General features: G+C 45.6%; 1 protein-coding gene across 2 annotated transcripts in view, besides 1 other annotated feature; it reads right to left on the bottom strand.

The window, feature by feature from the left end:
* The window catches only part of STUM (stum, mechanosensory transduction mediator homolog), a 60,467-nt gene that overhangs the window by 37,595 nt on the left and 1,597 nt on the right, over positions 1 to 21,275 (bottom strand). The gene's annotated exons all lie outside the window — the stretch shown is intronic.
* Positions 3,133 to 3,633: an enhancer, noted in NCBI's record as "H3K4me1 hESC enhancer chr1:226755704-226756204 (GRCh37/hg19 assembly coordinates)". NCBI's record gives its function as "activates a minimal SCP1, AML or CMV promoter by ChIP-STARR-seq in naive H9 embryonic stem cells {active_cell/tissue: H9 hESC(naive)}" and the evidence as "EXISTENCE:reporter gene assay evidence [ECO:0000049][PMID:30033119]".

The raw sequence follows: 21,275 nt of genomic DNA, 5'->3' as shown, positions 1-21,275 counted from the left end.
GAAGAAGGGAGAAGGTTCCAAGGGGTAACCCTGGGGTCCACAAACCCCCTGGGGCATCCATGAACTATAACTGCAAAAAAAAAATTTGCATCTTAATTTTCACTAACCTTGAACTCAATTTTAGCATTCCCTCTCATTATAAATGCAGACAATAACCAAAGTAATATTAACACAACCTGGTCTTCATCACCAAATAGGTAGCAGGAAACCATAGATATTCCTGCTACGGTCAAGAAGTCGATTTCTCAAAATATCATTGGCACTTATCACTATTTCGAAGTTATGGTACTTCCTAGACCCTCCACTGGATCTTCTTATTTAATACATCAATACAGAAGCACAGTGTTTCTATATGCAAATTTTTTTCTATAGTTTTTGTTTTGTTTTGTTTTGTTTTGTTTTTGAGACAGTCCCATTCACGCTGTCTCCCAGGCTGGAGGACGGTGATGTGATCTCGGCTCACTGCAACCTCCGTCTCCCGGGTTCAAGCAAATCTCCTGCCTCAGCCTCCCGAATAGATGGGATTACAGGTGCCCACCACCATGCCTGGCTAATCTTTGTATTTTTAGTAGAGACAGGGTTTCACCATTTTGACCAGGCTGGTCTCAAACTCCTTTCCTCAAGTGATCCTCCCGCCTCGGCCTCCAAAAGTGCTGAGATTATAGGTGTGAGCCACAGTGCCTGGCCTACAAATTTGCTTTTAAAAATATTTTAATAAGTCTTTTTCAATATCATTGGGGCTTTTAAAGTCTATGTATTAAATGCATTAAAAATGCATTTTTAAAAAAACCATTATTCTGAGAAGGGGTCCAAGGCTTCATCAGAACGCTAAAGGGTCCAATGGCACAAAAACAAGGTTAAGAACCTCTGGATTTAGGTCTCTAATATCTTCTCCCAGGTTCAGCCCTCACCCTTCACATATGAAGGATAAATGATCATTTGTTTGGATGCTGCAGCTCCAGGTGCTGGGGAAGCAGGGAGCTCAAAGAGGCAAGAGCTCTCTGCATGATGCTCCTTGAAGAAAAGCCTGCTCTGGCCAGAAGGAAGCCAGGTGGAGGGAGGTGGCTTGGCCCCTGTGGGGTGGAAACTTCTCTCACCCTGGTGCTGTCTAGTCTAAAACAATGGCGACTGCATCTGTTCAGCCTTCTGAGTTTCTCCACCTGTTGGAGGAACTGTGCTTAGCTTCTTCCCTCTTACTCTGTAGATTTCTATTGTATTTTACAGGGTGGTTTTGGGCATCATTGGTTGCTCTGACACTGCCAATGTGCTTTGGATGATCCCTGTTGCTAAGAAACAAACCTCAGATGTATCTTTAAACACACAGCTCCATAAAAGCACACGCCTCCTGACTCAACTCCATTATGTCTTTTCTTGGGCTGCTGGGTTACACTAACAGCTGTTTTCCAAAGGCCACATTTTGAACCTCAAGGAAATCTCACTGACTGTTCTGCTTACCCAGAGGAGCCACCAGAGCTCCGGGTGACAGCCCTGAGCAGAAAGGAGGGCATCACTCCAGCCTGGAGCCCTGCAAACATCCAGCAGGGGGCTTGTGAAGGAGGGCCTCCAGGGAGGGGCGGGGCTCAGGTTGGGGGCTGAGCTGAGGACAGGAGGAGCCCTGATGTGTGGCAGTCACCCTGAGGGACCAGTGAGCTGTGGGCCTGTCTTGGAGGCTCTTTTTTAGTATTTCTAAGAACCACTGACCTCACCTTACTGCAGAGCAGCTCCAGATTAAAAATGCTTCAAACCAAATCTAACCCTAACTTATCTCCCTGCCAGGCTCTACCCCTCTTCAGTATTTCTACCAGACAGCGCAGATCCCACCATCCCCTCCCAGTCCTGAAGGCAGAAGAGGGTCACGCAGGCAGGCCACAGCTGGGAGTAGCCACTCCTGGCTCTCCCTCTTGTCCCTCAATCCCAGGCTTTGGGGGTACGTTACATTGAGCTTCCCCAGGAGTGTTTCTCAAATGGGGTGCTTTTCAAACAATGCAAGTTATCTGGCCCCACTCCATTTCTGCTAATATTGAGTCAGAATCTCTGAGGGTAGAAGCTGGGGTTTTACATTTTTACCAAGCGTCCCAAGGGATTCTGAGGTCTGAGAACTGCAGTGTGGGACCGCACATCAGCCATGTCCCTGACAAGCTATTTGGCCCCAAAATTACTGAGCACCTGCTACAAGCCAGGTATTGTACCAGCCATGGAGGTGCGGAGCTGAGTGAAGACTCACCCTGTGCTCAACAGGCTCACAGCCTAGTGGCCCTGCTGGGTCACAGAGCATTGGGCCTCTCACAGCTGGAATGGGAGGGCTGGCTTCACCCCAGCACAAATTCTAAGGATAATAATAATAAGGACAACATGTAAGCCTCACTATATATATGTGCAAAGTGCTATTCTAAGACTTTATATGTAATAACATTCAATCTTCAAGAGAGCCCTATGAGATAGGTATGATTATGATCCCATTTTACAGATGAAGAAACTGAGGCACAGAGAGGTTAAGTCACCTGCCTAAGGTCATACAGCCATCATGTGATACCGTTGGATCCAGGAGGTATTCCTTCAGAAAAAAAAAAAAGTCATCCCCAGAAAAGAGACACCAAAACTTGGGGAAGCATGCACGTGTGGGCACATGCATGGGCACAGCAAGGTCCCCTTGTGTGTGGGCACAGCAAGGTCCCCTTGCTAGGGACCCTACAAGGACCTCTGTCTGCCACCCCACCTCCTCTTAACAGTGTGGTCGGCGTTTCTGCTTCTGCTTATCCTTACTTCTAGAGAATAAGAGAGGCCACCCTCATTCCTGGCACCAGGAGCAAGGTCTGTCCCTGGAGCAATGAGGTGTCCTCCAGAGAGCAACGTCGCAGGGGCGAAGCTCCTCACTGCATTTCATGCCTTGGGCCTCCTTTCAAAGCCAAAGTCAAGGGACAAGGGACATGCCTGCTCCTCCCCACAGCTGGGACAGTGGCTGCCAGAGGGGGCAGCAGGCAGCCAGGCACCAGACCTGGCTGTTCTTTGCTCAGCAGGCTCCTTCCCTCTCCTCCTGGCCACCCACCAGCCTCAGTCAAGCTGCCTGCTACTGATGCTTTAAACTTTTTTAAAAAAATTAAATGTGTGTTGAAGGAAGAGGCTGGAGCTGCGCTGCAGGCAGCGTTCTGGTTCCAATTCCCACTCTGGATGGGGCGATGAACCACATTCCTGAAGCTGTCCCTGCCAAATTCCTCTGGACTATTTCAGGGCAAAGAAAAAATGCCTGGGAAGCCCTTGGAGCAGTGCTGATAGGCCCTGAACAACCCACCCCGCCTAGGGTTGACGGCAGCCCTGAACCCGCAGTGGGACTCACAGCCCTCAGCACCCTCGGAATGAGGCCCACCGAAACCTCACTACTCTAGAAGCACAAACTCTTTCTTTTTCAATAAACACACTTGACAAATCACAAATCAGCAGCAGCTGCCGGCCGTTGCCAGAGCCTGCAGAATGGACAGTCTCCTGACCTTTCCCACTGGTGTGAAGTGTGAGACTGTGCATAGTGGAGCTGGTGCTCTGAGTTTTTCTGATTTGTGCAAACTTCTGGATGTGCACTTGTCTTAGGCACATGTGGGATGCCGGTGTGCAGGCTCCCGGGCACGCACATGACCTCTCCCGGGTGTCTCAGGTTTGGCTTCCAAGGAATGGAGATCAGTGCTCAGCCAGACAGGTAGTCTGGTACCTCCTCCTCGGGGTGCCCTGTTCGCATTTCTGACAATACATAAATAATAATGTCAACACAATAGCTTTCTAGTAATTCATAATTCTTTATGATTCATAATTCTATATGATTCAAGCCCCTCAGCTGTGTTCAGGTGTTCAATTAGGCAGCATCTGGTGCCAAATGCGTGACCTGCTCACTAGAGACCCCTCGGCAGAATCATCCATCTCACGCTGGCACGCTTCCACTTTTAAATGCTTTTATTTGTCATTTCTTCTCCAATGTGTGTTTGGCTATTAGAAAATTCTCTGTCTTACCTGTTCATCTCCTCCCTCGATCTCTTTGTATAGCTCATTCTCTGGGAAATAAAGTTTACTGGCAAGCCCCTGTTTGTGAGCCATAACAAATGTCTGGCATCACTGAGAAAAATGATGCTGTTTAGGGCCATCGGGACCATCTACCTCTTCTCATTAAATCTGCTTTCCCTCAACCACTGGCATTCAGGATGAATATAAAACTATTTCTTATTCAATGTTTCCTTACTTTGTTTAATAGCTAATATTGTTGTGTTTCTATTTTCCGTTATTTTCCACTGCAAATGTTCAGCATTTTAGCAGTGTAGTGTGGTAAATGGGCTTTTTGAACGAATCTGGTTTGAGAAAAGAGCCCGCGGGGCCGTCACCACCCGTTGGATAGCTCCAGGACGGACAGTCTTCAAAGGCTTTTTGAAAGCAAGGCTCGGGAAGAGATTTCAGGTCAATCTGGCCTGGACAGGACTGTTGATTAGCAGAGCAGGTGCCCCGGCCTCACCACCCTACTGGCTTCATCCTAGGAACAGGCTGGTCTCCTTCTCCCCCAACCAGATCTACTTCCAAGAAGCCCTTTGTGTCAAGTGTGTTGTTTAGAAATCCAGGTCTCTGTCCTAACATGGATTCTTGGAATCTTATTTGCAGCATTTGCGGGAAGCAGCAATGGAGTTGCTGCCAAATTCACCACCTACCTTCCCCCCAACACTGCATATCAACCTCAGCCTTCAATGTGCAAAAATCCCCACAAAAATCATGTTTATGGAAATTATATTGCCATGGCAACTGTAAAGGTCTCACAAGTATTTTTAAAATAGCAAATTAACAAAACCCACTTATAAAAATCTAAAATCTGTTCCTTCGTAGGAATTACTGATCATACAAGGTCCAGCAAATATAAGATGTGTTTTGTGACATGGTGGCAAAAAGTCAGTTAAAAGGGCTCTTGATCCTGGAATAATTGGGACAGAGGGTTGAATTGGTGAAAGCAAAGTTTGATTTTTTTCTATTAAGAGGTTGCACTTTGAATTTATTCTGGAAAAATGGCACCAAGACCTTCTGGTACAAAAAAAAATGTGGGTAAGAGACCTGAATTGCTGAAATACTAATTTATTACTTTCTATTTTCTCATCACTGATATTATTACCTTCCCCACTCTGCAAGACTATTCCATTTTTAACTCATAGGTTTTTAGCAGTTGCATAAGCTTCTGCCGCTGTGATTTAGCCTGGCTGAATCTCTATTATAAAACCTGCTTCTCAGAAGTCTGCACACAAATCACACAAGAGGGGGAAAAAAATCAGAAGAACCCTACTAGAACCTTTATGCCTTTTAAAAATGTAATTGGCATGGCTATCAAAAGGGATTCTTTCAAGTAGATGATGCACTAATTTTTGGTGTCTTTTGTAAAGACTTAAAACATAATAGGCGTATTTTGATGACTTCTCATAACAAGAAATCATTGGGGGCTTTGACATTTCAAACAGTGGAGGTTCTTTCTGTGAGTGGAGGAAGAGAAATCAAACCACGCAACTGAGGATTCCATTCCTAAGCAAGTGTCATTCTCCAAGGGAAGAGGAACAGAAGAAAGGGTGGTGGGGGACAAAAATGCAAAACGGTAGGTCCTAGGGAGAGGGGAGTACCCTGGACTGAGTAGCGATTTGCTTTCAATATCTTCTGTTTATCACAGAAAGAGTAAGGAGGAATCGCTGGTAAGCCCAGGCACAAGCAATGGGCTGGGCAGCTGTTGCACCTTCCAAAATGAAGGCTCCAGGTGAAAGAGGGAGATGACATTCCGGGAAGGCAGCGATGCTTCCAGCCATCTGGGTTTCTTGGGAGGAGAGCAGGCAGAACCAGGATTCTGCTGCTGGGGAATCCTCTGGGCAGGAGGTGCAGCCCAGAGATCTCTGAGCCAAGCGTGGGCGAGAGACGGGAGGATGGGGGGTATGCAGAACTACCCAGGCAGGAGCCGGGCAGGGAGTCACGCCTAGCACCTTCTCAAGTCTCCACCCCTCCCCCAGCTGAGGCATCTCCTGAGCACCAGAGCCATTTGCAAGCTGGACACCCACACTTTTCAGACGGCAGGAAGCCCTGGCTCCATGTACTGGCTGTTTCAGAGCTTCTAGGAGGAAGACTGTGTTAGAAACCAACATCTTTAGGAAAACCAGGTGGAGGTGGGTGGGATGAGAAGTGACGGTGGGGGAGCAGTAGTATGCCAAGGCTGGTGGTTCAGGACCCCACAGTCTAGTCAGGGGTGCTAAAAACAAACATCTCTGTGTGACCAGGGGGTCCCAGCAGGAAGCAAAGGCTCCCACCCCCAGGGTCTTCATGAAGGAACTATACACAGAGGTCTGGGCAGGATGGGAGGCTGAAATGCTGGTACCCAGCAACAGCAGGAGGCCACTCCCACCCTTGGGCCTGAGGGGCAGGGAGAGGGAAGGCTGTTGTTGGGCGGAGAGGGCTGGGGTAGTAGAAGGGGGCTGTAGAATGGAATTCGTGGTCATAGACAGGAAGTTGGAGGGAATGGGAAACCAATACCCCAAACTCTCCCTCCTTTCCTCCATGCCTACCAGTGCCTCCCATTGGCTAAGACACCTGGAAGCTCGAGGGCAAGGGGACTGGTGATGCAGGCCGTAGAGGTCGGCCTCCTCGGGTCCAGAGCAGGATAGGGAAGAGCAGAAAATGCATGGGGGAGGGCAGGGGAGTGGGAGCCACTGGCCTACCTGTCAAGCCTCCTCCCCTGCCCACCTCTGCTAGGGCAAGGCTTCTTAGTCATTCAGAACCGGAATGCATGAGATGCATCAGGCTAAGCGCTGAGGCTCCCATCAACAGGATGAGCTGGAATGAGAAGCCAGGATTCCAGATCTCAGCCAGCAGAAGCCACACTCTCCTTGAGAAAGGGGCACGTTTCCCAGCTCATTATCACCCAGCAAGTAGGGCTGGGATTCTACTGGGTGCCCTGCAGTGGGCCCTCCACTAGAGGAAGTCACACAAAAAAGGTATAATCAAAGAGATAAGAGTAACCCACATGCTAAGTTAGAAAACTCAAAATTAGAGTGGCAGGTAGACCAGATAATCCAAGAGTAGATGCCTGGTTCCAATGCACGTTCTACCCATCACCCAACCACCAACCCCAGCCATTGCTGACTGTCTTCAGATGCATGTTAAGAATCACACTCTTTTCCCCCCATGATTGGTGGCAGTCCGCTCCCATGATGCTGGGAAGGGAACCCCATGAAGAATAAGAAACAATGAGATGGAAATAGGCCTGGGAGACAAAGCCACTCACCCACTCCCTTCCCTAAGTCCTCCTTCAAGAAGTGCTTTGCTTGACCTCCAAGCATTTCCTGAGGACCGACATCTTGAAACAGGGTAACCTAGCTCCTAAGTCCTCAGGGAAACTCACACAGAGAGATCTAGAACATCCTGGGCATGAGATGTATTGGGCTCAGAAGGGAAACTAAAAGGAAAAATAAACCACACAGTGGGCTCACCCAAGAGTGGGCCCAAGTAATTGGGTATCTCGCCAGACTCAAGACTTTCCTGAGTTTTCTTTCCCTTTAGCCCCAATCAATTCCCAAGCACTGAGGGCCTTGTGCTCAGGATGTATCAGCCTCAGAGTTCAGCCATGGGCAGTCGGACGCAAGACCACCCGAGCCTTTTGGCCAAGCCTGACCTGTGAGTGAGGGTGCATCAGAGCTCACCACCCTTTCTGCCTTGAGCCTCAGAACCCCAGCTATTTGGGCCTAAGATGGTAATGTTTACTTTTTTCCCTTCTGAGTCAGGCCACAGGGCAATTCCTGGAAGGATTCCACTTGCACGTTCAACCCACATGACCTCTCAGAGCAGCCAAGGCAAAGGGGCAGTTCTCTCATGCCCTCTCGGCATGGCAAAGTCACTGGTTGTTGATTTGAGGTGTTTCTTTGAGGTCCATGGACAACTTCTGGACTCCATGCTAAGTCAAAAAGAGGAATAACGAAGAAAATGAAGACTTCTCCAAAATAGCTCTGCAGCATTGGGATCTGCTCTGGCTGAAGCATTCAGATTCCTGATCAGCCCCAAAGGAATCCTGCAAAGGCAGCCTGCTCAGATCCATGGGCCACTGAAGGGAATTGGGTGTGCACAATGACCCCGGCCTCCTGGAACTCACTTTAACTGAGTTAGTTCATCAAGCCTATGCTGATGGAGCAGAAAAACACCTCATACTCCCAAATGGCTGCAATAAACTTTTGTGTGCCCTTAGGGTTTTAATAGTAAGGATCTCTGGAAAAATCTCCTTTGGGGGCCTGGGCCTTGCAAATCAATGCCACCTTGTGCCCTGACTTTTTTCCTGTGGTCCCCAGATAGCCCCTGACTTACTTATGGCTGGTAGACCTTATGGAAGTGATAAGAGAGAGGATGTGACTGGCTTAGAGTACAGTAGTTTGGATTTAGGTGCAATCACTATGTCTGAACCGTATGAGTGTGTTTGGCTTTTTGCCAAATATTTTAACTTTTTATTTTAAAATAGTATCAAACTGGCAGAAAAGTTGCAAAAATAATGCAAAGAATTCTGGTCTACGCTTTACCCAGATTCCCAACTTTTAACATTTCACTCCATTTGTCTTGCCATTCTCTTTCTCTCCACATTCTTATTTGTTTCTTTCTGAACCATTTGTGAATAAGCTGCCGACATCATGGCTCTTTATTTCTTTATATTTCAATGTGTTTCCAAAGAACAAAGATATTCTCTTATATATTCATAGCACAGTTAAACTTAGGAAGCTAAATATTGATACAATATTTCATCTAATCTGCAATCTGTATTCTAATTTTTGTCAATTGTCTCAATAATGTCCTATTGTGATTCTCTTTTCTTCCAGTACAGGATGTAATTCAAGATTACGTTTTGTATACAGCTGTCATGTGTTTTAGACTCCCTTAATATTTTATGACAATGATGCTTTTGAAGAATACAGGCCAGGTACCTTGTAGAACACCCCTCAATTTGGGTTTGTCTGATGTTTCCCCATGAGCAGATCCAGTTTATGAACCCCTGGCTAGAAGACTACAAAAGTGCTATTGTGTTCCTCTCAGGATATCATATCAGGAGGTACATGATGTCGGTCCCTTGTTGATGATGTTAATTTTTAACAGCTTTATTGAGATACAATTTTCTTTTCTTTTTTTTTTTTTTTCAGAAGGAGTCTTGCTCTGTCGCCCAGGCTCGAGAGGGCGTGCAGTGGCACAATCTCGGCTCACTGCAACCTATGCCTCCTGGGTTCAAGTGATTCTCCTGCATCAGCCTCCCGAGTAACTGAGACTACAGGCATGCACCACCACACCTGGCTAATTTTTGTATTTTTAGTAGAGACGGGGTTTCATCACGCTGGCCAGGCCAGTCTCAAACTCCTGACCTCAGGTGATCCACCCACCTCGGCCTCCCACTGTGCTAGGATTACAGAAGTGAGCCACTGCACCAGGCCAGAGATGCAATGTTCATATCACAAAATTCACCCACTGAATAATTCAGTGGCTTTTAGTATATTCACAGCTTTGTGGAACCATCACCACAATCAATTTTAGAACATTTAGAACATTTTCATCACCCCCAAAAGAAAGCTCATACCCATTAATGGTCACTCCCCACTTCCCCCCAACCTCACCCCCCACCCGACATACTGTCTCTACAGATTTGCCCACTGTGGAAATTTCATATCAGTGGAATCACACAATGCATGGCCTTTTGTGACTGAGTTCTTTCACCTAGCAATTTTTCAGGATTCAGATGATGTTAATTGCGTTCACTCAGTCAAGATGCTATCTGGTTCCTGCACTCTCTCATGTTCCCTGTGTAAGTTAGAAGCATTCCAAGGGTAGACACTTTACAATCATGCAAATAAATATCCTGCTCCTCATCCAACTTCCCCTTAGACTTAGATTTGATGGTTATTGACCAAACCAATCTTTATTAACAAGGTTTACTAAGATTGATCCCTTCCACCACTCCTCTGACACTCATCAGTGGTTAGCTACACAACTGGAAAGTTCACAGGGTAATTAGAGTTGGTGGCCCCGCTCTTCTCAGTAACATCATAACTGCTCCAACAAGTCCCCCACAGACCAGGCCATCTGTCCTAGCAACAACTCTCCTCTGTTCCAGTTCCTCCCTGAGTGGTCGGGGACCAAGGACTCCTCAGAGACACACACGCTGCAGGACAACACATCTGCCCTCATTCTGCATGCAGCCCTGAGAACTCTGAGCTAGGAAGGCCAAGAAGTGACAGGAAAGCCTGTGTCTCCTGGGGAAGGGTCCACTAGGTTAAAAGAACAAGGACCTGCTCTTGATTCCACCTTTCCTACCAGTAGTTAATATGCAAACATACCTTCACTTCAGCAAACACCTACTACAAAGGTGCTAGTTGCGATTGGAAATAGAAGATAAGTAAAGCACAGCCCCTACCCTCAAGGAGACGATTTCCCATAGAAGGATTAAGACAACCAAAGAACCAGAATCTCAAGGAGAGCAAGAGGAACGTCCTACATGACCTGACCATTCTGAGGAAGGAAGAGCCCACCTCACTGGCATGGTCAGGAAAGGCTTTCGGAAGAGGGCATTTGAGTTGGGTCTTGAAGGCTGGTTAGGAGTTAGACAGTGATGATGGAGGAAGGTGTACCAGGAAGAGGGTATAGCAGGAGCAACAATGCTCCCAAATAAAGGCCTACATAAAGCGAGGGAAAGAATGGGTAAAGCTCGCTGGACCCTCGTGGGTCCAATGTGGAATGTGAACTTGGTTCAGTGGACAATGGAGAGCTCCTGAAAAATTTCAGGGGAGGAGAATCTAATGATCAGAGCTGAGACATGAATAGAAATGTGCTTAGTCTGCTAACAGAGAAAATCAAAATGGGAGCATTATACCACAGCCATTCTGAGATGTGACCCAGGGGACCCACTTCCATTTGATCTGCTGTCGGCGCTCCCTTCTGCAGCTTGGCCTAAGAGTGACACTTCTGAAACCAATGCAACATCTCCAACCAGGGCCACAACTTATCCATCCCAGAGAGAGTGACTCACTCCATCACACACATGCCCCACATTTCAACCTGTGCCACTGTCTCTGTGCTATTCCATTTTCATTGAGAATGTTTTCTGCTCGGTGACATGCTTCTTTTTCAAATGAAACAGAAAATAGAAGATGACAATCATCGAAACAATGTTCCATAGCCTGGAGGCTGCTCGCGTCTTGCCAACCAGCAACACTGATGTGAGCTTTGTCTTCTGAGACGTGGATTCCTGCACTGGCAGAACTTGGAGACAGCAACGGCAAAAAGGTTCCCAAACGATCACCCTTCCCCAAGAGCACCTGGATTAAGGTGTTCCTGTCACATTAAACTTCCAAGGTTCTGGAAGAACAGTGGTCAAGTAGTGAGGTTGGAAGCCAGGGCTGAGGAAGGAGCAAAAGGCTATAGCCAATTTCCTAAAAGCCACTGAATCATATACTTTGTGTGTTTTTTTGTCTTGTTTGTTTGTTTTGAGACAGAGTCTCACTCTGTCACCTAGGCTGGAGTGTGGTGGCGTGATCTCAGCTCACTGCAACCTCCACCTCCCAGGTTCAAGCGATTCTCCTGCCTCAGCCTCCCAAGTAGCTGGGATTACAGGCGCCCGCCATCATACCTGGCTAATTTTTTTTTTTTTTTTGAGACGGAGTCTTGCTCTGTTGCCCAGGCTGGACTGCAGTGGTGCAATCTCGGCTCACTGCAAGCTCCGCCCCCCCGGGTTCACGCCATTCTCCTGCCTCAGCCTCCCAAGTAGCTGGGACTACAGGCACCCGCCACCATGCCCGGCTAATTTTTTGTATTTTTAGTAGAGACGGGGTTTCACGATGTTAGCCAGGATGGTCTCGATCTCCTGACCTCGTGATCCTCCCACCTTGGCCTCCCAAAGTGCTAGGATTACAGGTGTGAGCCATCACGTCCTGGCTGAATCATACACTTTGAAAGAGTGACTTGTGTAGTATGTAAACACATCTCAATAACATTGTTCCGGAGGGACAAGGGTGGAGCAGTGAGGAGAGGGTCCTGGTGGCAGGCATTGATTGATGTGGTCACTGACAGGTCATGTGGCTGTGCAGTTGTCCTCCGCAGTCCTCACCAGGTCTTCATTAACAGCGGTGTGTTCAGTTAACTGGACAAATATGAATTAACCCTCCAGGACAAGCCAGGCACTGTGACAGGCAGGGAGGCCCCGAAGCCAGGGTAACTGATGGTGAAATTGTGGGTCAGAGCCTTCGACGTGGTAGGAGGCCTCCTTTCTTCCCTTGTCCGTAAATTGAAGGGGTTGCAGCCGCCCTAAAGTTCTTTGGCCCTTGGAAAGTTGAACCATTTTCATTGTTGAGGTTTCAAGGCAGGCTCTTCTCCACAAACAGCAAATTGCTCTTGGCCTCAGGGTCAAACTTCTCACACAACAGAGACCAGAGCTGGACTGAGTGCTCTGCTCAACAGGGGGCTCTGGCCATGGCCCCTACAAATTCCAGGTTCAAGGGCAGTCCTGGCCTTATCTCATTTTACTATTTTCAAGAAAAGTTACTTCATCAATGTAATTTATGGTCTGTCATAAAATAAATGCATGGTGAATCCCCGTGTCCTACCTTTTGATTAGGAAAATATGGTCTCCTTCCCATTGCCTCCGCTTTCCCCTAGGAATGTCATTTCTAGTATGTGCTGGGCCTGGGCCAATGAAACCCAGCACCCAGTTCTCACTGGGAAGTTCCCATGCCGAAGACACACCTGCTACCCTACCCTGCCCCAGATTGTGGGGCTTCAAGTGTGCTATAAACCACCACCAAGTATGTGCCTCAAAGGTATATGGACACAGAGATTTTCAAACCCAGACCTAGAAATTAACGATGCTCTAATTTTTATTGTAAAATAACTATAGGTAAAGTCTATGGAACATTTGTGCACACAAACACACAGGTGCACATCCACCCACCCACACACACATTCAGTCCACACTTTGATGTTCCCCACAGCCTTTTACCAAACTGTAAAGTTAGCCTCAGAGACGCATCCCTCGCACAGGCCCAGGGTTTGGGGAGTACAGTGGAGAAAGCTTCCAGTTGGTGTGTTGAACTAAGCCCTGGAGAACGTGTGCCCTTCCCCTTCAAGCCAGCACGTCACGTGTGGGAGGTCTGGTTGGGTGCCCAGTGGGAATTCCTAGGTCTCAGCTCCATGTGCTGCATGGAATTGAGCTACTGAAAAAAGGTGGAAGTGCTTGTTAGTCACCCTGTCCACCCCCAGTTGCCACTCAGAGAAATACCCCAGGAATGATCCTGGGAACAAAGGGGATTTTGCTAATGATTTTTGTGTGTTGATTTTGTATTGCACAACTTAATTGTATTATACTCTAACATATTCTAACAGTTTTTTGGTGGAGTCTGTAAGGTTTTCTATATATAGGATTATGTCATCAGCAATGACAATTTCACTTCTTCCTTTCCTATTTGGATGCCTTTTCTTTCCTTCTCTTGCCCAATTGCTCTGGCAAGGACTTCCATTATGTTGAATAGAAGTGGCAAAAGTGGGCATCCTTGTCCTGTTCCAGATCTTAGAGGAAAGGCTTTCAACTTTTCACGTTGAGTATAACGTTAGCTGTGGGCTTCTCATATATGGCCTTTATTGTGTTAAGGTACGACCTTTCTACACCTAACTTTGGTGAGATTTTTTATCATGAAAGGATGTTGAATTTTGTCAAATGCTTTTTCAGAATCTAATGAGATGATCATATGGTTTTTGTCCTTTATTCTGTTAATGTGATGTATCACATTTATTGATTTGCATATGTTGAACCATTCTGGCATCCTAGGGATAAATCTTAATCATGGTGGATGATCCTTTTAATGCACTGTGGAATTTGGTTCACCAGTATTTTGTTGAGGATTTTTGCATCTATGTTCATTAAGGATATGGGCCTATAATTTTCTCTTCTTGGACATGTCAGAATGGCTTTTATTAAAAAGATGAAAGAGAACAAGTGTTGGTGAGGACGTGGAGAAAAGGGGAACCCTTGTACACTGTTGGTGAGAATGCGAATTATAGGACCATTATGGAAAATAGTATGGAGATGGCTCAAAAAGCTAAAAATAGAATGACCATATGACCCACAATCCTACTTCTGGGTATTTACCCAAAAAATTTGAAATGTGTTTATCCAAGAAATGTCTGCACCCCATGTTTACTATAGCACTATTCACAATAGTTAAGTTATGGAATCAACCTAAGTGTCCATCAGCAGATGAATGGATAAAGAAAAGGGGGTATATATGCCTTAAAAGGCGGTATATAAATATTCAGCCTTAAAAAAGGAAAGTCTATCATTTGCAACAACATGAATGGAACTGAAAAACATTATTGCTAAGTGAAATAAGTCAGGCACAGAAAGACAAATACTGCATGTTCTCACATGTGGAATCTAAAAGAATCAAAGTCATAGAAGAACAGAGTCGAATGGTAGTTGCCAGGCACTGAGGTGGGCGAGGGAAATGGAGAGATGGTGGTCAAAAGGTACAAAATCATGGGAGAAGTAAGATTTTTTCCCTTTTTTGAGTTCTATTGCACAGTGTGGTAAATATAGTTAATAATAGAGTATCGTACATTTCAAAGTTGCTAAGGGAGTAAACTTCAAATGTCCTCACCACAAAAAGTGTTAAGTATTTGAGATGATGGATACATTAACTAGCTTGATGTAATTATTCCACATTGTATTCATAAATTATAGCATCACTTTGTACCCCACAAATTTATATAATTAGAAATTGTCAATTTACAATTTAAAAGTGCAAAGGGGATTTTGCTAATATTAATTGGTAACAATAACCTGTTCTGACTGTGGAGTGCTTTACAGTTAACAGGGCATCATGACTTTGTCAGATGCCCAAGCGGAGATTATTATTTTCATTTTACAAGTGAGAAGACTGAGGCTCAGAGAGGCTAAGTGACCTGCTCAAGGTTCCATGCTACTGAGGAGCCAGAATTAGGTCTGAAACCTCCTGGCTTCTAGTTCATCTCCCTTTTCATGATGCTTTGTGGCATCATGAACCTAATGTTGAACTCGAAACGGCACTTAATTTAGACCATCCAGGTCATTCTGTTTAGCCTGTTGCTCATCTCCCCGATGGCCAAGTTTGCCAGGAAAGCATTGCCTAACCACTGCAGACTGGATGAAATGGGCCCCGATGGCCCATCCTTTCCTCCATTAAAGCACACACTACTGTCTGTATTCATTAGTGCCTGCCTTCCCATTAGACTGTCAGCTTCTTGAGGGCAGGGACCACATCTTCTTTGACTTTGTGCCTCAGCTCTTAGCATAGACCTGGCACACAGTAGGAGCATGTTAAGAGTGAAATGCTGCTGAAGGCACTCAGAAGGAAGCCCTCCTCTGCTTAGCAAGCTATCTACACTTTATTGAGACACAAACTTCCTCTGTATCATCGTTAACTGACCACTCCCATGGCAGCTGGGTCCCTTGCCATTTCTCAGAAGGAATTCGGATGCTGTTAACACATCCACTTCAAATTACCCTTGAAATGGGACAGGTCCAAATTGAGATGTGCTATAAGTGTAAAATATACGCCGGATTTGAAAACTTACTATGCAAAAAAGAAAATATATCTTATGAATAATGTTCATATTGATTATATGTTGATAATATTTTGAATATATCGGGTTAAATGAAACGTATTATTAAGGTTAACTTCACCTATTCCTTTTTACTTTTTATGATATAGGTATGTACTAGAAAAATTTTAAATTCTCTATGTGACTTATATTTCTGTTGGAAAGTTCTGGCTTAGGTCCTTACAGGTCATTATAAGGACTCGAGCTTTTACTTTGAGTGACATGGGAGCCATTAGAAAGTTTTGAGCTCAAAAGTGACACAATCCGACTCACTCGTGTTTAAAAAGTAGCACTCTGGTTGCCATCTTGTGGACAGACTCTAAGGGACATGAGTACGGACAAGCAGACCATGTAGGAAGCTACTGCAGTAATACAGGAGAACGTGGAGGCTTGAATCAGAGAGTGGTAAGAAGTGGTCAGATACTGATCAGGCTTGGAAAGCAGACCAAGAGGACTTCCTAACAGATTGGGCATGGGGTTAAAAAGAAAAGAGTCAAAGTTGAGTCTCAGTTTTTGGCCTGAGCCACTGGGAGGTCGCCATTTGCTGAGATGGGGAAAGAGGAGGGAGAAGCAGGTCTGGGGAAGAAGACCAGGAGTTTGGTTTTGGATGCGTTATGTCTAGGATGCCTTTTGGTTTCCAAGTGGAGACACTGAGAAGGCAGTTGGATATATGACTCAAGAGTTCAGGGAAGAGGCCTGAGCTGGGGATCTAAACTGGGGAGTCATCATCATAAAAATGCGATTGAAAGCCCAGAGGCTGGGCAAGATCACTGCGGGTGTGAATACAGGCAGAAAAGAGAAGATCAGGGTCAAGAAGACCAAGTGCCCTGGGGAGCTCTAAAGTTTAGAGGTTGTCAAGAGAGGCAAAGGAAGCAAAGAGCCTTGAGGTAAAAAGAAAACTAGGAGGGAGTAGTGCTGTAGAAGCCAAGTAAAGAAAGCATTTCAGGAGGAGGGAGTGAGCCCCTATGGCCGGTGCTGCTGATAGGTCCAGGAAGAGGAAGACAGAGAACCGGCCACTGGATTTAGCAACCTGGAGGAGACTGGCGACCCTGACAAGTGCAGTGTAAGTGAGTGATGGAGGCAAAAACATGATTAAAGTGAGTTCACTAGAAAATGAGAGAGGAGGAATTGGAGATAGCAAATACAGACAGCTCTTTCAGGGAATTTTGCGGTGAAAGGGAGCAAAGAAATGGGCACAGGTCAGAGGGGATAATGGATCAGGAGAGGCTATTTTTAGAAGATAGACAATTTCAGCATGGATGTGTGCTGCTGGGAATGAGCCAGTAGACAGGAAAATTGATGATGCCAGAAAGACTGGGAATTCTGATGCTTCCCCAGTCTCCAAAGAGTACACTTATATTGCTTTTTCATGTTTTATCAAATTCAGACATTACCTATCCACTTTCTGCTGTAATACACACAAGCCAGCTTGCTTATATCACCCCTCAGCGCACTTTTACTCTTGTTTCCAGATGATTCCAGCAGTTCACTCTCATCCCACTGTCCCAACACATCAACTATTTCAGTTCATCTATTGGTCACCTTGGTGACTTTTATTTCTTGGTCTATTAACTACAGACAGCATCTCTTGACTCCCGTTTTATATGATTGGGGTATTCATGCCTCTACCCTACCATCTGCTGTTAGTCAGCTTTGCATATGTCATGCTGGGACAATAACAAGACCAACAACCACAAAATCTCAGCAACTCAGGCTTATTTCTGATTCACATGCCATGCCATGGCCTGCTTCTGATGTGCTGTTTATTCTGGGAACTAGTTGAAGGGCATCCCCCATCTGAGACCTGCCATTTTCAGGAGAGAGGGAAAAGAACAATGTCAGAACTTCACACCACCTCTTAACGTGTCTGTTCGGCATGGAATATGTCATTTCCACTCACATTCAATTGGCCAAAGCGAGTCACGTGGCCAAACCGGGTATCAGTGGACAGGGGAGGAAGTATTCTCCTACAAGGGCAGGCAAGCCATATGGCATCGGGTGGGGGTGTGAAATCCTCTTTCAGGGAGAACAGTGAATAATTGGGAACAATAATTTAATCTATCACAGTTCCTCTTCTCTCTTCTTCTACTTTCCAACTTCTTTTATGTTGTCAAGCCAGAAACTCTTTACGTACTCCTTTATAGCTATTCTTAAGTAGTCTTCAGTGCTTTGTTGTTGATTTTAGAAGTTGAAAGCCACTAAGCAGCATTTACATTATTATGACTAAGCAAATATTCTTTACTGCAGAGCCAAACAGTCCATATCATGCACCACTGTTCCAATGACAGACCCTATGCGCTTAGAGCCTTTCTTACATTCCACCACATGCTCAAAATCAGGCCACATTTTGGACTGCTTCATATTTAGGCTATCCCTTTCATAAGAAATGTTTTGTTTTTCCAGAAGTTTCTGATTATGTTTCTTTTTTCTTGTTGATAGAAGAAACATTTGCCTTCTACATCATATCCCTAATAACCTCCAAATTTCTTCCCACTCCATTTATTGTTTGGACTCTTTTTTTCTTTTTGAAGCCTGCTGACCTTCTGACCTGATTGGGCAAGCTGCTTCAATTTTGGATCTTAATGCTTTTGCATGGCTCTTTGTCTTTACTGCAATTACTAATTGCTTTCTGTTTTGTTTGGGTGGTTTTTTTGGCTTGCTTTCTGCTTTTCATTACAACCTTAATTTTTTGCAGTGTCCTAATAATACTCTCTACTCTCTAGAATGTCCTTCTCTCATGTCACCTTCGGAGACCTCTTTCCTTCCACTCTAATGAAAAGTAACTACTCTCTCATTCTGTTGAACAATTTCATCCCAGGGTGGCTTTTCATGGCTACTCTGTATAGGATTCACTGTTTCCTGAATCTCATATCTCCTTTCTTGGTTTACTCCCTTACTTTGTTGAAAAACATCTTCAGGAACTTCCTTCAAAAGGTTTAGTAGGCTGTAAACTTCCTTGGTCCTTGCATCCTCAGGCCTACTTCACTTTTATATTGAATAAAGGCTTTGGACCAGATGATCTCTAATGCCTATTCCAGGAGTATAATTCTAGTCTATATGTATTTGTGGATAACATGCTCTTTCAAGAAGACATTTAAAATAGTTGCTGCTCCCCAGGAGTTTAAGATCTACTCAGATAGACAAAGAATAAAGTCTCAAAACAGCAACAAAAAATCTATGATACAAAAGATGCCAGGAGGTAGGACATGATTAATCATCAGTTTGAGCCTTGGGTCTAGAGGAAAGAGAGAGAGAAGAAGCAGAGCCAGCCTGTGGTGCTTTTATTGAGCAAGCAAGACTTTAGCAGCATCAAAGAGTAGGCAGTGTGTTAGGGATAAATTGTCCCTATCTGATGTCCTGAGTCCAATGGAGTGGTTAAAGGTCAATGGAGGTCCTCCTCCCTTCGACTTTCCGTGTCACTGAGATATCAACATTTTCGTTTCACCAAATCAAGATAGATATAATTTTTAAATATAAAAGTATAATTATACCCCTGACCACTAGACAAACTCTCTGGCCATGTTGGGGCATAACAATGAACTTTCATTACAGGTATGAATAATCGTGTATATACTTATAAACACCCTAATTGTTGGAACATGAAGGTACCAACGGTGGTCTTTATTAGTAGAGTTTCACTGAATAGGACTAGAGGTGACTCTCTTTACTAATGTCCACTTGTAAAAATTGTTTTTCATTGTTTCAGTGAGGAGTTGGAGTGATCATAAATCACTTCTCCTTTCCAGCCACTCCCTAGGAGACAGCACATCCCACTCATGATATGAGTGTTATCCCGAGAGCACTGTTGCTTGGGTGGAGAAGGCACTGGGGAATTTTAAGGATGGGGCTTCTCCACAGCTGGTCCTGCAGACTGGATGGACCTGAGACACCTACATCAAAGGGAAAAAATAAAAATAAAAAACGAGCCTTCATTCAGCAAAAACTGCCCTCTCATCCAATCTGCAATCCAGGAGAGGACTTGCAGGGAAGGAAGTTTCCAGAAAAAAAGAAAAGATCTTTGGGCCAGTGGTCTGGGCAGTTTCCAGAATGGGAGTTTAGTGAGGATGGCAAGTGCTGAGGACACGTGATAGATTTTCTCAGCAAGTTCTAACCTAACACTACTCCCTCAGGGAGGCTTTCTCTGAGCCCCCTTCCTTCGCCCCCAGGAAGAATTTCTGCTACAACACTCTGTTCCTGCTGCCATCCTAGCACTTATCAAATTCAGACAAAGTTGGCCTCAATTTTCCTCAGCAGTCTATGACATCCTGACTGATTTATTCATCATCACAACCCCAGTCAATGCCTGGCATGTGGTAGGTGCCTGTGTTGGTCAAATGAATGAGTGAATTGAAAGAAGCTGCATTTCATCAAAGAGCAGAATCAGCCATGAATATTCAGTTGTCCCGGGAGCTTCAGATAAGCCAGGAGGCCTTGGAGAAGTGGATCTGGGCCAAGTGGCAGATTTCCAAGAGCTGGGGCCATTTAAACCACTCCTGGGGAAGGGGGGCAATAAAACCACCTGCAAGATTGGTCTGAGCTGCTTTGTTGCCTGGGACTCCACTGCAGGTGGAGAGGGGAGCAGAGGGATCAAAAGCACTCAAAGAGCCTTTGCTTCTGAGTGGTCCAGAGGGCAGTGCTGCCCTGGCTGCAGCGACCCCCACCCAGAGATGGGACCAGTGCTCAGCTCTGCAGAAGAGCAAGATGGACCCACCATCCCCAGAGAGCTTCCTATGCACCAGACGCTGGGCTTTATGTAATCACGTTTCATCCTCTCAGCAACGCCAAGAGACAGGTGTGCCTGACTTACAGATGAGAACCACCACCAAGGATCAGGAATCCCTCATTCCGTGTGGAGAGGAGCAGGAGCCTGTGCACCCAGTAAACTGTACAATAGCAACCAAAGCAAAATTAAAAAAAAAAAAGCCAGGATTATGTCACTGAAAATTCAGAAATCTGTGCACCTACAGCTCACCTGTTTTATTACTTTTGTGGTTTGCATATCTTCCCTTTATTTTCTCCTGGTTTCTTATAATGGTTTGTTTTGTTTGTTTGTTTATTTGTTTGTTTCACAAAAATCCCATAGGATTCTGATCTCACAAAGGGAAAAGCTGGATCCCCAGGGCAAGGAGCCAGGGGTCAGCGGAATGGACGGTGCCCTGCAGCCGATGCTGTCAATGCAGCAGGGCTAAGGCTGGGAAAGGCACCTAGTGAAGGGAGACCAGGGAGGGTACACACAGGTACATGCGTGGGCAGCTGCTGTCTCCTGGGGCTGGTCTCCCACAAGGTGGTTTCCTCGTGCAGCAGTGACTTGGTGCAGCCCCTCTCACCTGGCACCAATGCATTTGTTTCCTCAAAAGACCATAGGGTGGCGTTTACCTCACCACTTAAAAAAAAAAAAAAAGGTGGATCAAGATGCATGCTGGCTCAGGAGGATCTTCATATCCGCCAGAGGGAGGGGCAGGCAGTCTCTTTTTACTCCAGCAGGTGAGAATTTCTGATAAAACTAGATTAACACCAGCTGGCCTCCTTGCAGTGTCTAAATGTGCAAAGAGAGCTGATCTGATGACACCAGCCAGGGGGACAGGCTGCTGGAGGCACCCCAGAAGAGAGAAGCCCAACTAAAGGCCACCTAACTT

Source organism: Homo sapiens, chromosome 1 (assembly GCF_000001405.40).
Source record: "Homo sapiens chromosome 1, GRCh38.p14 Primary Assembly".
Classification (NCBI taxonomy): Eukaryota; Metazoa; Chordata; class Mammalia; order Primates; family Hominidae; genus Homo; species Homo sapiens.
The sequence above is the reverse complement of the archived record's forward strand: the minus strand, read 5'-3'. Positions and strand labels throughout refer to the sequence as shown.